The sequence below is a fragment of the Homo sapiens genome, chromosome 10 (assembly GCF_000001405.40).
Source record: "Homo sapiens chromosome 10, GRCh38.p14 Primary Assembly".
Lineage (NCBI taxonomy): Eukaryota > Metazoa > Chordata > Mammalia > Primates > Hominidae > Homo > Homo sapiens.
The window spans coordinates 31,362,500-31,379,117 of NC_000010.11; the positions used below are offsets into that span (position 1 = coordinate 31,362,500).

At 37.2% G+C, this 16,618-nt stretch overlaps 1 protein-coding gene and 1 pseudogene across 55 annotated transcripts in view; one reads left to right on the forward strand and one right to left on the reverse strand.

Annotated features, from left to right (window-relative positions):
- Positions 1–16,618, forward strand: part of ZEB1 (zinc finger E-box binding homeobox 1) — a 211,388-nt gene that overhangs the window by 44,083 nt on the left and 150,687 nt on the right. For 11 of the 55 annotated variants that reach the window (NM_001323638.2, XM_047425691.1, XM_047425684.1 and 8 more), the window contains 2 exons: positions 10,519–10,674; positions 12,304–12,465. The exons of 34 other annotated variants lie outside the window; for them this stretch is intronic. The gene's annotated coding sequence lies outside the window, so the exon portion shown is untranslated. The remainder of the gene's footprint in view (positions 1–10,518; positions 10,675–12,303; positions 12,466–16,618) is intronic. 10 more of the 55 variants (NM_001323646.2, NM_001323642.2, NM_001323650.2 and 7 more) reach the window with 2 other exon arrangements.
- LOC100505502 (POM121 transmembrane nucleoporin like, pseudogene) lies at positions 300–1,550 on the reverse strand (annotated as a pseudogene).

The following is a 16,618-nucleotide window of genomic DNA, read 5'->3' on the forward strand; positions in this document are numbered from 1 at the left end:
GGCACTCCTCACTGCCCAGACGGGGCAGGGCCTGGGCAGAGGCGCTCCTCACTTCCCAGACTGTGAGGCTGCTGGGCAGAGGCTCTTGTCGCTTCCCAGACAGGGCGGGGGCCGGGCAGAGGCGCTCCTCACTGCCCAGATGGTGCGGTGGCCGGGCACAGGCGCTCCTCACTTCCCAGATGGTGGAGCAGCAGGGCAGAGGCGCTCCTCACTTCCCAGATGGTGCAGGCAGAGATGCTCCTCAGGTCTCAATCTCTTGATCTCCTGATCCGCCCGCCTGGGCCTCCCAAAGTGCTGGATTACAGGCATGAGCCACCACGCCTGCCCTGCCGTGTCTTCTTTCTCCTCCTAAGCAACTGTCTTAGTCTCCTGAATTTTGATATTCTACTTAACACTCTCATGTTCTTACGCATGTTGCCATGCTGGAGGCGTCCTTCTCTTTGGGAAGCCTGACCCACCAACAGTGCCTCAGGAGATAGACATGGAAGCTTTGCCGGTGGGGGCCGCTCGTCTCTATCACACCTCAGTTGCAGGGGAGGGGTCGGTTGCAGCTGCAGCGGTGGCCCCGACAGTTTTCTTTTGTGGGACCTGTGGCCGGCAGCTCTGGGTGGAGAAGACCTACTTGATCCAAGAGCTGCAGGATCCTTGGGCTGCATGTCCTCCCCCACCATCAGCAAGCCTGGAGAGCTGGGCAGGTGGTCTTCACCCAGCACCTTCAAGGCCGCCTTCTCTGGCCACAGGGAGCAGCCCGGAACTGGGGCAGGGAGCACTGTTGGAAGTGGGTCAGGCTTCCCAAAGGGAAGGATGCCTCCAGCAGGGCTGTGTGAACTGGCGACTCCATGGCCCTTGGAGTAGAAACTCACTGCATGCACCTGGGCCTTGTCAGTCTGATTCTTTTCTGTCAAGCTCTTGAGGTGGACATTTCCCTCCAAGGGCCTGGGATTGTACCAGGAAGAAGTGAGGTTTCCCTGAGTCTCCAGGGGCCTAGAGGTGGAGGCTGCTTCCCCATTGCTACAGGGGCCCCTTTTATTGTCCTCCTGCCCCTGGGTCTCTACCTGGTCTTTCACCTCTGTTGCTTCTTTGGGCTCTTCTGCGCTCACCTCCGTCTTCGGGAGCCTGGCTGGGATCACCTGATCATCTAATGAAGGAAGTTGAAGGTTAAACTTGCCTCTGAGACAAGGGATCCTTACGGGGCTGAGGTGTCCAAACATTATGGAGTTGTGAGGAGACAGCACGGGTTTCTTCCTTGAGGGGGGGCTCCAGACCACAGGACGCAGGACCCTCTGTGGGGTGCCCGTGTTCCGAGGGATAAGACACAGCCTCATAGGGGCGCCGTCCCACCTGACTGGAAAAGAAGGCCCAAGATGTCGCTGACGGTTGAAGAGGAGTGGGAAACGGCCCACAATTCCCCGGGCAGGCACAGGTGCAGGAGCTGCAGGGTGAGCCCGGCCAGCTGGGAAGGCCTCACGGACAAGACGAGCAGGTTGCCGATGGCATGGCCAGGACCTGCGGCAGAACCAGGAACAAAATACGCTTAGCGAGTTGCCCATTTTGAGTGAGTTGTGCACAGACGAAACTAAGGGTCAGAAGCGGAGAGGATACTCCTAAGTCACCCACTTCTCTGTGGCTGGGTGCACACTGGGCATCTGGGAGTTTATGACATCACTATGGGGCTGGTGACAGAGCCAGTGTGTGGAGGAGTGCTTAGGAGCCCAGCGAGGGTGCCTACAAGAGGAGTCAAAGGGCAAAGGGTGAGACCCTTCCACCGGTCCAGCTGGACTCTAGCCTCAGGGATATCCTGCTCCTGGGGGCAAGTGTGTGGCCCTGGATGGGCCCCCCTGTGGGGCTGTTGGGGGTGCGAGGCTGATCCGCCAGAGCCCTTCCACCTGGCGCCTGGCCCAGGTGCTGGCTAGCACCCAGTGGCCCTGTTTTGGCCGGCCCTGTCCCCCAGGTTACAGGGCCAGAACCTGGAAGCAGAGCGCAGGACCAGCCAGATCGCGCCAGGCTTCCCCGGGGCCTCTCCAGTGCCTCTGTGCCACCTGGAGCCAGGCCCGCCTTCTCCATGGCTGCCGTGGCCTCAAGGGCCACCAGCCTTGCTCCGCAGGTTTCCAAAGAGAGGACGCAGTGCCCTGACCTGACTGGATGCACCTCTTACCACATGCCTCCCTGGCAGGCAGGGTCTCCACTTTTTACAAATTTGCCTGAGACCATTCCTCAGGTCATTCAGGTGGTCATGGCCCAGCCAGGCTTTGAACCCAGGCTGTGCGATTCCACAGCTGGCGCTCTGGCCTGTGTGCCTCATGATCATGGATACAGCATCTATTCTTATTTTTTCATGTAGTCCTGGGGTACTTAGCACCGTGGCATATCTGTAATAAGCACATGCACACCTCGAAGGAGGTCTTCACTTCAACATACGAGTTGACCATGGCATGCTCTGGGCTCCAGTCCTCTACAAAGACGTAGGGCAGGAACTACCAGTTGTCAGCACAGCACCATCCCACATTGCTCTTCTAATGGAGCCTTTCACCCCAGATGTTCTTTCTCGTCTGATGGGAAGGATCCAAGTATGTAAAGATTATGTTATAGATCAGCTTTGGTCTGTCCTAAAAGAAATTTGCCAGTGGATTATTCCATATGGATAAAAGTCAGTTTCTCTGGTCTTCCTGGAATGTGTCTAGAAAGCAAATAGATTATTTACAAGTTCATAGTAGATCAATGTATTGGATTAAAATATGACAAACATAATTTGGTCATTGTGAGCATGCCAGCTTGGTCAACTATTCACCACACATGATGCCCTAAATATAACTCTAGGTTTTCTTATGCCCAAGAGAGGGACATACTCTTGGGTGTCTGGACTAGGGAAACATGTATGAAAAACCATTTGGCCACTCTACATCTTGTTATTGGAGAATTGAAACCATCTATATTCAAAGATATTATTAAAAGGCAAGAAGTTAAAAAATAAAAAAATAAATTGCATGTCTGTTGTTATGGAATTTTATAACTGTACATACCTTTTATTTAATCCATTCACAGGTCATATTATAGGATATCTTTCATTTAATAAGTATACTAAATCCATACCTTATACTGTTGAGTTTTGATAGTACCAGAGGGAAAAAAGAAGAAAAGCATGGCCTCTATCTTTAAGGAGCTATTTAACAGTCATATGAATCACTCGATTGAGAAGATCCATATGTGTAATATAATGAATTCCACAAAAATTGCTTATTAAAATTTTTTGAAAAAGTAGGGGTGAGATTGAATATAGCAAAGCTTTATTGTTGATTTTTGTTGTTGGCCAGGCCAAATTTGTGAACATTTTACATGATCAGCTATATCGAAATACATTTGTATGCTCTACTGAATATAGGGAACATAATTTAATATTTAATTTAAACTCCAGGTTACCATCATTTACAGGCATTCTGTGCATTAAACCGTTTTGCCTCTTCTTTCTTCCTCAGTAACACGTTTAGGGCCTTTTGATGCATTGGAAAGAAAAGGCAGTTGCGAGCTGCTGGCTCTAGCAAATCAGAGCTAATCAACCTGAGAATAATGTTTGCACTTTCCCGCTTTCAAGTCTTTGCTCAAACTGCTCTCTACCTTTGCTCCCACAGGTTAGTCCTTTCCCCCAATCTAAAATCTCTCTGACTAGCCCTGAACTTACTTTTTATAGCTCTCACTGTCTACCATCTCCTTCATCTTGAATATACCAGGACAGACTGGGAAGTTCCAGAAAAAAACAGACATAATACTTAAATCATCTTTGATACCTAATTTGTCCTCACTGCCAATTAATTAATTTTGTTTTGTTTTATTTAATTTTGTAAAGACAGGGTCTTGCTGTGTCACGCAGGCTCCTCTCAAACTCCTGGACTCAAGTGATCCTCCCACCTCAGCCTCTCAAAGTGCTAGGATTAGAAGCCGTGAGCCACTGCGCCTGGCCATAATTTAAATAATCCTTTAGATTCCTGTCTCTGTCCATTTTCAAAGCCAGGGTTACACTATCATAACATACCCCATGATGTACACCATTGCTAAAACAATCTTCCTGAAGTACTAATTAGATTTTTGAGCAGAGAATAAAACCATCCTTTCCAGTGTTGGCAAATATTCAACGTACTGTCCTGAAATACCTGTAGTACTTCCAAGTTTCTGCTTTGTGCTCACACTGTTTTCTTTGACCTGAAATGCAATTTCTATCTATAAAAATCTTAGTCATTATGAGGTCTAGCAAAGATCTTTTTCTTCTATGAAGCCTTCCTATCGACCCTAACTAAAATCTCTTCTCTGAGTTCCCAGCGTATACTGCTTGAGCTGGAGCAAGACTCCAGTGATCCTTGGAAGAAAGTGGGAGGTTATTTTCCCAGTGCGATTCCAGGAAAGTTTAATGTCTTATAGTTCAGTCCCCTTTAGCATTCCACATACAGTTAGTGCTCAAATATTTGATAATTGCTCTACTCACAAATATTTTTGTGTGAAATTGCTAGCTATTCTCTATCCAAGAAGTAATGAAGTATATAAGCTTCTTCAACTCTTTGTTGAGCCCGGGACCTCTTACTTATTTCTGTATCCTATCTACTCTTGAGTAGTAGGGTCATTGGAAAGCAACCACTGGGTTTGGGGATAAGTTGTGTGTATTTTAGAGGAGGAAGTAAAGGTGTTACTGGACTTTTAAAACTGAAGCTTTTTCTGTTTTAAAGTATTTTGCTTCCCGTTACTGTATTTATAAGATGATACTGGTATACGTAGTGTCTTGGCTATTTATCTATTCCCCTTTCTCTTTAACACAATATTCCCCAACTTTGGTGTGATACTGAATTGAAATCTCTGGGAGTGTGGCCTAGGACTCTACACTTTTACTAACAATCAGTTGAGATGCTTATGAAGGTGGTGGTAGTAGTGATAATGGTAGTGATGATGATGATGATTGTATTAGCTCTGCTTTCGAAGGCTTATGATGTACTTACTGCACTTTTCTAGGCAGTTTGCAACTATTAACCTAATGTTCACAGCAAGCCTATGTGGTAATACGCTATTATCTTCATTATACAAATGGAGAAACTGTGGCAGATATAAATTAAGTAACTTGTCGCCAAAATGACTTTCTTATAAATAGGTCAAGAATCCATGAAAAGGATGAGGCATATTTTTTTGGTTGATAGTTTTTAAACTCACTTTCTAAAGGATTGCTTTAAGTGATGTGAATGATATGAATGTAAACTGGTTCTTATATAAATTGAAGTATCAATATGCTGACTCTATATAGGAATACTTCAACAACTAGACCTAAATATAGATACTTGCTCTTGCTTTTAGGAAGCCTGTCACAATTCTTGGTGAAAAAGTAAGCATGCACCCAAAAACGTAGAACATTGAGGAAAATTTTTAAATAATTACACTTTCTAAAATACATGATTTTAGGAAGAGTGCTTTATTATATACTATATATATATATATACACACACACATAGACATACACACGTAGATGCATATATATTTACTCTATATGGATGTGTGTCTATATGTATAGTCATTCTTCAGTATCCTCAGGTGGTTGGTGCCAGGACACCCTCAGATACCAAAATCCAAATACTGTCCCACAGTATTTGCATGTAAGCTATGCATATCCTCTCATGTACTTTATTTATTTATTTATTTATTGAGACATGGTCTTGCTCTGTCGCGCAGGCTTGAGTGCGCTGGTACAATCATGGCTTACTGCAGCCTCGACCTCCTGGGCTCAATCGATCCCCCCACTTCAGCCTCCCAAGTTAGCTGGGACCACAGGCACGCACCACCATGCCCAGCTAACTTTTGAACTTTTTTGTAGAGATAGAGTTTCATTGTGTCGCCCAGGCTGGTCTTAAACTCCTGGGCTCAAGCGATCCTCCCACCTTGACCTCTCAAAGTGTTGGGATTACAGGCATAAGCCACTGCACCCACCCATCCTCTTGTATACGTTAAATCATCTCTAGCTTACTTATAATACCTAATACAATACAAATGCTGTGTAAATAGCTATTATATTGATTTTTATTTGTATTATTTTTTATTGTTTTGTTGTTTTTTAAATTTTTTTCCTGAATATTATGTGTGTGTGTATTGAGATGTTACTTTGTGATTTAATGTAATTCAAGTAAAACTCGTTAAGCATTTATTTTCTGTTTTAGTAGCATAAGATAAATTTGGTTTTATATGCTAAAATATTTTATCTTTTTAATAATAAATGATAAGAATATTTTGTTCCCTTTTAGTTCATAGACTATGGGAAGTGGAGTAGGGAGTGAAAGTGGTGGCTGTGGTGGTGGTATGGTGGAAGTAATTTGTTTACCATCACTGCCTGTCCAAAATAATTTTGATGAATGATTTTAGGTGTTGCCTAATAAGTGCTCTGACTTTTGAAACCAGTTGAACTAACAAGCATGTTGTGCTTTGCTAGAAACATCTTGTAAGTTCTGACTTTGAACAGACAGTGGAATCTAAATTGAGTTAGTGGAGGACATATCTTTACAACTAAATCTAAAGTGTTTCAACTATTTCTTTTTTTAATCTCCTGTTTATTTTTCTTGTAGAATTAATATTTTTGATTGACCAATCATAATTGCATACATTTATGGGGTACAATGTGATGTTTTGATATATGTATACAGTGTGATGTGCTTATGCTAATTAACATATCTGTCACCTCACCTATAATATTTCATATTGAGACATTTGAAATTTGCTTTTATTATTTTGAAATACTTAAAACGTTATTATTGACTCTCGTCAACTTGCTACGGAATAGATCTCAAACTTATTCTTCCTCTCTACCTGAAACTTCATACCCCTTGATCAACTCCCCCCACCACCCTCCTACCCTAGCCTCTGGTAACCATTGTTCTATTCTCTACTTCTATGAATTTAATCTTATTAGATTCCACATGCAAGTGAGATCATATGGTATTTGTTTTTCTCTGCCTGACTTATTTCACTTAGCATAATATCCTCCAGATTCATCCATGTTGTTGCAAATGACAGAATTTTCCCCTTTTTAAATGCTGAATAGTATTCCATTGTCTGTATATACCACATTTCCTTGATTCATCCATTGATAGACACTTAGGTGTTTCCGTATCCTGGCTATTGTAAATAATGCAACAATGAACATAGGAGTGCAGATATCCCTTTGACATACTGACTCCAGTTCCTTTGGCTATATAACCAGAAGTGGGATCACTAGATCATACAGTAGTTCTATTTTTAGTTTTTTTGGGGGAAACTTCCATACTATTTACCATAATGGCTGAACTAATTTGCATTCCCACCAACAATGTACTGTATAAGAGTTATCATTTCTCCACACACTGTCCAACATTTACCTTTCATCTTTTTGATAAAAGCTACTCTAACAGGTGTAAAGTAATAATGCATTGTGGTTTTAATTTGTAATTCTCTAGTAATTAGTGATGCCGAGCATTTTTTCTTGTACTAGTTGGCCATTTGTGTGTCTTCTGAGAAATGCCTGTTTAGGTTCTTTGCCCATTTTTAAAAATTGGGTTATTTGTTGTTTTGTTATTGAGATGTTGGAGTTACTTAAATATTTTAGATATTAACCCCTTATTAAATGTATGATTTGCAGATATTTCTTTTTATATTTCCTGTTTACAAATTTCCTGAACTTCTCTGGCTGCTCATTTATATAGAATTGGGATGAGTTATGTCACCTGAAGCAGTCAAGATAAGACTGTTTCTACTGATATCCATATGGCAGGCTTACTTTGTTACCCAATCCAATGAAAAAGGGTGCCAGGATGTGAAAGAAAAATAGATGTGATGGCCGGGCGCAGTGGTTCACGCCTGTAATCCCAGCACTTTGGGAGGCCAAGTCAGGTGGATCACGAGGTCAGGAGATCGAAAAATAGATGTGATGCCATGGAACATTCTAGGGAATTACCATTTTTAGAGAGAGTTTTGATAAAAATTTTACGTATTTTTAAAACTCATATTCTTAGTCTGAAGAGTTGGAAATAAGGTTGAATGTATGTCTTAAAGCTAATAGTATAAAAAGAGAAGTGTAAAATTTAAGTTAATCATACAACTTTCTTTCCCTAACTTTATGAATTGACTTTTTGCAATTTCCGGAGCTAATGAGGTGAATGTCTGAAATTGAGTATGTAGGTTAAAAAGTTGAAATTTTCCTAATAAAATTGTATCTCTTTCTAAGGTGTAACTCTTTCTTTCTTTGATTATAGTAAAAGGAGCATCTGTGGTTCTTAAGAGGTCTTGATTTTTCTGCCAGCTAGTTGTGTGACTTTGGGTAAATAATGTCATATGACTGGACCTGTTTCTTTATTTGTAAAATTGTGTGTGGTGTTAAATTCTAAGACTGTTTTTAAAAAAATTTTTGCGGAGACTGGGTGTTGCTTTGTTGCCAAGGCTGGTCTGAACTCCTGGTTTCAAGCAGTCTTCCCCACCTTGACCTCACAAACTGCTGGGATTACAGGCGTGAGCCTCCATGCCTGGCCAAATTGTAAGACTCTTATAATGGATGAGTAGAATATATTTAAGATTATATAAAAACACAAGTCACTTCATGATCATCGTCTGCTGGAACATGAAACCAGCTTTCTTGTGTAGATGTGTTATCAGTAATGTTATTCACACCGAGAGGATCATTCTGTGGTTTTTAATTCATGATTTTGTAATCTGATAGTGACTTTTCATTATGTCTCCTGATTTATAATTACATCACAGCCATTATGATTGGAATCATTGGGAAGAGTTGAAATGAGCAATTTAGAATTGTTTCTGAAATACAGAAAGCCTTATTTTTTGGTGGGGGTTGTTGGAGGAGATATCTCTGTGTTCTGTAATTTCATTTGACTAAGGAATTTATCTTTGGTCTTCTCCCAGAGTGAGGACATGAATACTTCCATAGCTATATTCCGTATTAATCACAGTTTGCTTTGTGGGTTTCATTAGGCTAAATAAGAAAAACGTCGTTATGTATTTTCTGCTTTAAAAAATGCTTCTTGATATAAAGTCTTCTCAGATCAGTCCCACATGTGATAAATCTATTCAAACTATTAAACTGCCTCAATGTGCTTGTTTCTCTCTTGGAAATCTATCCATTTCTGTGTCTTTATGTACCACTCACTCTCCCCCATCATATTTTAGGTTATAAGCTCCTTTCCTTTATATCTCATAGCACCCAGGAAAGAACTTTGTTAGTCTCTGAATAGTTTATAAGTGTTATTGCTATTGAGAATTTTGGATTTAAATTATTGGAATGAATAGAATAATGCTATTTCTAGTATATCTAACTGAGGGTCAGTGTTATTAACTCAAAGACATAGCAGTTTTATTAAGCTCTAGGCTTTGTTTCTGAAGTCAGTTTCTCTTAATCATAAGTGGATTATTCACTTTATATTCTCTTATATAATGCCTTGGTATCAGGTTATTGATAGGTAAACATCAGAAATAGGCTGGATAGATATGCATGCATGTGTACACATGCACATGTATGTGAGAGAGAGAGAGAAGGATTGCACATAGAATATATGAGAATTTGAGGTGTGTGTAATGTTTATAACTCATCTGAGTCTTACATAGCTATCTAGTTATGTACACTTAATTTTGCACCTTTTATAGTTGAAATTCAGAAACATTTTTTAAGGAAAATAAGGACGTGTTTTTCTTTCCTTCATGTTTTCAGTTTAGCTTTATTTGATTGTATTTTTGCTAAAGACTTAAATTGTCAATAACTATTGAAATGGGCCAACTTATAGCTGAGCACAAAGTATGTTAGGACACTGAGATATATCTTAACATTTGGGAATAATTTAATGTGTCTAATACTTGAGAAGGATCAAAACAGACTGTACAACCCAATAATCATAAAGCCTATGGTCAAAAATCGTATATAAATGACAGGCCCTATGAAGAGTAGCCGTAAGAATCAAGAGAAAAAGAACCTAAATTGGTACAGAAAAGGAGCTGAGTCATTTTTATATTATAATTAGAAGTTGGTAACGATAAATTTTGTCTTCCCAGTACAAAAAGTATCATGATCAGGCAGGATTACGCTAAAGTGTAACCTCTAACTTCTTGTGGTATGTACTATTACAAGTAGTTGATGATTTAATAAATATAAATATAGATGATACTGTCAGAGTGTTTCCAGACATTACAGTTAGCTTTTAGGTGAAGGCAGTGCTTGACAGAACCTAAGTTTGTGACTCAATAATTTATTATATAATCTAATACCATTTTTATCTTGTATTAATTTGGGTTATAGGATAATTGGGGTAACTTTTTGGTGAGGGATTGAAATTTTCTTAAAAGCGTTTTCAGAAGATACTAGAATTTTATGGGATTCTTTTATTATAGCATGTCTTCTCAAATATAATATTAGGACTGCTTGAACAGGAGGCAAATCATATTCACGTTATTTTCCAGTTTAGAGTTATTGCTCTTATCAGTTGGTGGGTGTGGGAACAACTTAATAAAGTTTGGGTAATTTAGTTTTCAGTTTAAATTCTCAACTGGCAATTGGCCGAAAACTCCCATCTGAAGACATGATCATCCAAATGTCATTTTGTGATTTGGCTACTGTCTGCTTGACATAGGAAAGCACTATCAAGAAAGACTAATGGAGTGACTATCAAAAGGAAGTCAATGGTAAGAGTTTTCATTTAAATTGTGTGTGTGTGTGTGTGTGTGTGTAAAGCCTACCAATGTATTATATTTGAATTAAAATTTTAGAACTTTTAAAATCTAGGACATAATGACAAGTGTTTGAATTTTATATGTCTGTCACTTATATTTTAATAAAATATATGCAAAGAATGGTTTTATAGATAAGAGATTTTACATACTTAATGTTGATAAATAGTATAAAAGTATGGAAAATCAATTATATAGTTCATGTCTGGTTTAAAAATTCAATTTTTGTAGTTTTATTGTAGTTATTTAAAATAGTATATTATAAAATTGCTTGACTGAAGTTTAACTTCTAAAAAATTTGTACTAAACTGAGTTTTTCTGTTCAGTTTCATAAGTGCTTCTTAAAATAGACATGCATTTTGTGGTAGTCTGTTGAATGCTGTTTGGTTTTTTACTTTCATTATAAAATAGGAAAGAAAAAAGTATAATATCATATGACAAAATCCATTTAGTTTAACATTAGTTCTTTAAAAATGTATAATTGCTACTATACTTTGGCGGAAACTATTAAATTTGTAAGATAAGACGTTTATACTCTATACCCAAAACAAAGTGAAGTAGCTGTTCATAATATGGCGCAGAATCAAATTTTGGTGATAAAATCAGACATCTCTCTCCTGCCTTACACATACTCCCACTGAGAAAATAATTTCTAAATTTGGTTACATTTTCATATACTTCAGATGACCTTAAATTTATATTTTTCTCCTGAATATATTTGATTCCTGCATATCCCTTTTTTTGGGCATCTGTGTCCAATCAGATCCATGATTAGTCATGTTAGCTTTGGACAAGAGTGGAGGTAGGATCTTAGCAAGTTTGAAATCTTTAAGATTGATGTTTATCTGAGATTATTCCAGCATGTCCACGGACATAGTAGTTTTGTGATAACAAGGTAATGGCTGATGAAGATTAGCATATTAATAATAGATTATAATTCTGTTAACCATTCTATTGTCAAATACGTGATTTTTGCGATTCACATAGTTTAAGTAATTTTTCATGCCCAATTAGAGATGTCAAAATTATGTTAATTGAATCTGGCCATGTTCTTAGCTGTTTTCTAGAGCTTAATAACAAACATATCAGGAAGAGCTCTTGTGACAAGCACCCAGCACAGCATCTGTCATTATGTAATCATTCCAATGTTTACAGTGAACTAAGTACTTGAGATGGCAACATTCATACTTTAGTCCCTCTGTCTAGTAATTCATACTTGTATAGTCTGTCTACTATGTGTCACCCATTTAGGTAGGTGCTGAGAATAAAATGGTGGGGTTAAAAACAGATATTCCCTGTTATTGAACTTCCAGTGCCAATGGTAATTACAGTGTAGATAATAATTACACACTGCAACTGGAACCAATACTATAAAATGGCATAAGTTCCTATAAGGGTAGGAACAATAAAGTTAGTGTATAAATAAAGCACAGAACCTACACATTTATTTATTAGATTGAATTGATAACTTGCTTTTGAACTTTTAAAGTTAATTCTATTAATATCTGCTAAGCTAGGCATCAGAAAGACTAAATTCTAACCATAGAGAAATACATTTTTTATGCTGCTATTCTATTTTCTTAGATTTCTTAAGAATTTACAACAAAACCCTGTCAAAGCAGCATTCTTACGTGAGAATTTCACTTACGGGAGAGTTCTTACAGGATTTCAAGAAGGAAAGCCCTGAAGAGGGACACTGATTTCCTCAACTGAATTTAAAATTGTTACATGCAGACATTTTTAAAGGTAGTATGATTTTCCTTAATCAAGTCAACTTTATATCTTTTTATCTTTTTAAAGAAGGGAATGTGACATTTATGTTTTTCATACACACACACACACACACACACACACACACACACACACACACACAGAGAAGCATACATGTTGATTACGTTTTGGAAAATAAAATCCAAAGAGCATTTGGATGTCTGAATGTTTATGCTTCATCTCCGCAGTGACTTCTAAATTTAGTTTTTTTCTGGATATACTCAAAGTCACCAACCTGAGTTCAAGTATTCTGATTTGAAGATCTCAACTTAGAGATCCAGGCAGTCCCCCTTGTCAGTGCTAGGAGAAAGATGTCCTTCCCATACCTTCCAGAAAGAGTGTCTTGAAGAAATATATTCCTTCCTGGGTAACGTGCTTTGGAATGTACATGATATTCATTTTTCTTTGACAGCTCTTTTTGGTTCTGTTTAGTTGGCTTTGATGGGTTCATGATGCCCAGTGGAGAATTTGGTATTTAGCCACAAAAAGATATTTAAGACACATAATTATGTAAATATTGCAGATGGAGGATGATACATAGCATTTCTTTTATCAAAATGAATTTGAATTGACTTCTTTCTAAAACAAAATTCTACCAATAGTCATCAGTTTTTAATTATATAACTTCTCAATATAGGAAATAATCAGTGTCTGATTGGCTGTGTATGTTGGAGTGTAATGGCTTTTGTTTTGAATTTGGCAGTTTCTACTCTCAGAAGAAATGAGTTGCGAATTACAGTGGTGTTAGAAGAAATGAATTGGAAGTTCGAATGAGAAAAATTTAAATAAAAGTTATTGTTTATAGATATGGAAAGGAAAATAATGTTTTTAGTTCAATATGAGAAAGAACCTTTTAAATGTAGAAATAAAATGGGGTGCCTTTCTACATCCATTCTTAAGAATTTGGCAGAAGTTATGAAGAAGTTAAAAAGAAGGAGTTCCTGCTGATATAAGTCACGAGGATTATTTGAAGGAAATTTATGTCACATCTCGTAAAATCATCATATTGACAATTATAAATATGTAAAACTTTATGTGCAATAGTTATTACTAAAAATACTGAGCTACTATTTATAGTGAGATCATTATTAAATAAATTTAACAGATAGAATAGCAAATCACATTTATTCATTCAGTATATTCTTACCAACAACCTGCTGTATGTCAGTCATTGCATAAGACTGATGTGATGCCATAGGTCTTGCAGGGAATGTAGACATTAAGCAAGTAATTACAATAAAGTATAGTGGCTTATGATATTATAAAAACAAAGCAGTCCTTAAGTATACCTTGCAATTGATCTGTAGTATATTAATTTTAATCCGCTCATACTCCTCATGAAATGAGGTTGTTCATTTTGATGTAAAAATTAGACTGACGTTCTTTGCAGTTAGTAGAGACTGAAAAAGTTCTTATTATTTGTATAACTTATTTAAAATGAGAAACTGCTGTGGAAAGATCTGCAGGTTTCTGAGATACCAAGAAACGTGAATATGAGCAGAATAAACACATGCATATTATATACATTATAAACGTCATTTAAGACAATTATATGAAGCAGTTTTACATTTAAAACTACCAAGTTGTAATAGTTAAGAAGTTGGGCTCCAGAGTCATACTGGTTGGGTGTGAGTATTAACTCTGACACTTACCAGCTTTGCAGTCTTAGGAAACCTGCATAACTCTACTGTGCTTCAGTTTCCTTACCTGTAAAATGGGGATAATAAGAGTATATATCTTGTGGAAAAATATATTATTTGATATATGAAAATGCTAGAAGAGTATCTAGCATATGGAAAGTGCATAGAAAGGGCTCCATATGTTGTTTTAGTTAATAATTACAATAATAATTTCCTCATCTTAAAAATATCCTGCTTCATTCATAAAGTTGTGCCAACGGAAATAATTGCAGATGATGCTTAAAATACATACAATATATATTTCAGAGTGGTATGTAAAGAGCTTTTATTATTACTGCTAAACAAAAAAAAAGTCCGTGAAATTCTCATCTAAGCTTTGGGGCCTCTTTAGCTGAATTTCAGCAGTCACTCAAAGGCTTTCTAGAGATGCCATCTAGAGATACTTTATAACCTAGTGTCTTTTTTTTTTTTTTTTTGCAATACAGAATTTTTTTTTCATTGTAAGATGCTGAATGAGAGAAAATTATTTCAGTACTACAAGTATGGTTTCCCATGACCACAATTAGTTCTAATGTAACCAGTCAACAGTTGTCTATTGAAAACCACTAGCTATTAATATAGTATCATGGTAGCCTAAAAGAATTATGCTATCCTTCTACTTAGGCTCTAGGGAGACAAGAGCCATGTAAAGAATACTTAAAGCACAAAATGTGAGACTGCTCTGCCACTAGTTCCTGCTCTGCCACTAATAAACAGAGGTATCTTAGATATATGAACCTGTTACAATTATGAGGCCATCTTAGCATCTCAGTACCCTTATTATATATATCGTGTGTATACACACATGGCCATCCAATATTTCTTTCCCAAATTGAAATGAGAGGAATTCATTAAGGTGGTTTTAATTTCCAAATTTACTGAGTAAAAGAATTCTATTCTAAAAATTATTTTGTATAATGCCCTTCAAATTGAGTTTTACATGTACTATTTCAAGGCTTCTCAGATATTCCCACATAAATTATCTAGTGTTTCTGCATCACTTTGCGATCTTTTCATTAATGTCAAGTGTAATGTTTTTTAACTTCACAAGGGAAACATGAAATTCCTTTAGTGTGCCTCATTTTCAGACATTTTCTTGTTGATTAAAATTCCTTTTTAAATAAAGTTTCAACATGTACTAAATAATTTGTTTACCTTTGAATTAACTTTTTATAAATGAATTTTAAATAATGACAGCAGTCATTACAAACTCTGCTGTTGGCAACACTAGAGGGCATTTCTAGTTCTTCAGACAGTGTCATGAGTTCTCAGAATAATTTACCAATTCATTAAACAGCAGATTAGCATTTTAAGGGAAAGGAACTAAAACAAGCACAATACATATATCATACATATATATAGTATGTATATATTATGCATAGACAGATAATATAAATATCCATATATAATATATACATTATATAATATATGGATAATACATATATATTGGATGTATGTATACTCACGTCTGCTTTACCAAATGTTCTCACTGAATCACTACTCCTAAAAAGGCGGGAGAGTATTTGTGATCTGCTCACTGAAGCACCACTATATTATCCAGTTGTTTATTAGTGTCGTGGAGGTCTATGCTCTGATAGGTTTAGCATCAAGTGAACATTGAGTAAAAAAGTATATGTATATACTCATACATACATACTCATCAGAAGTTAGTTGCTGTGCTTATTGAACTACTAGATGCTAACATAGTCATAATTAGAATAATTTTTCAGATAAAAAATGAGAGTTAAAATAGATGCCCTTTATAGGCTTAGTAGAAGATTTAAGACTACCTATATTTTGAATTACTGTATTTTAGATGTTAAAATATTTTCAAGGGTTTTGAATGCAAACATTTTTAGGGAAAAGATACAATTATGTAATATTAAATATATAATATTAAATATTAACATGCAATGATATGAAAGAAGACAAGTTTATAAGAAAATTCAATTAGCGTAAAGAAAAACTTTTTTTTCTTGGGAGGATTTGCTTACTGCGGTGTATTGGGGAAAAAATCTTATATATCATTAAGTAATCATTAACACGGTAAAAGTAAAGTCAAGGACCAGCAAAAAATAACCTAATTGTTGTGAAAATAAGGTGACAAACAGACAATCCCATCTTACACTGTAACATACTTTGTATAAGAGGGGATACATGATAACCACTAGAACAGTGGTGGATGTGCAGGTGGTAGATACACAAGGGATATAAGAAAGTCTTTCTAGTTCAAATGTATTTCTGCCATGTACTTTACCCAGTAGAAATGCATTTACATTTTTAAGAGGAGCGTATAAATCTCTCAAATATTTCTGTTGATACATATACCTATCATTCACTTAAATACCTGAGTACCTACTAAGTATAAAATACCCCGTTATTTTATGTTTGGCACAGTGAGGCTGTAACAGTTTATACTCCTATTATGTAGCTGAGACCAGTTGGTCTCT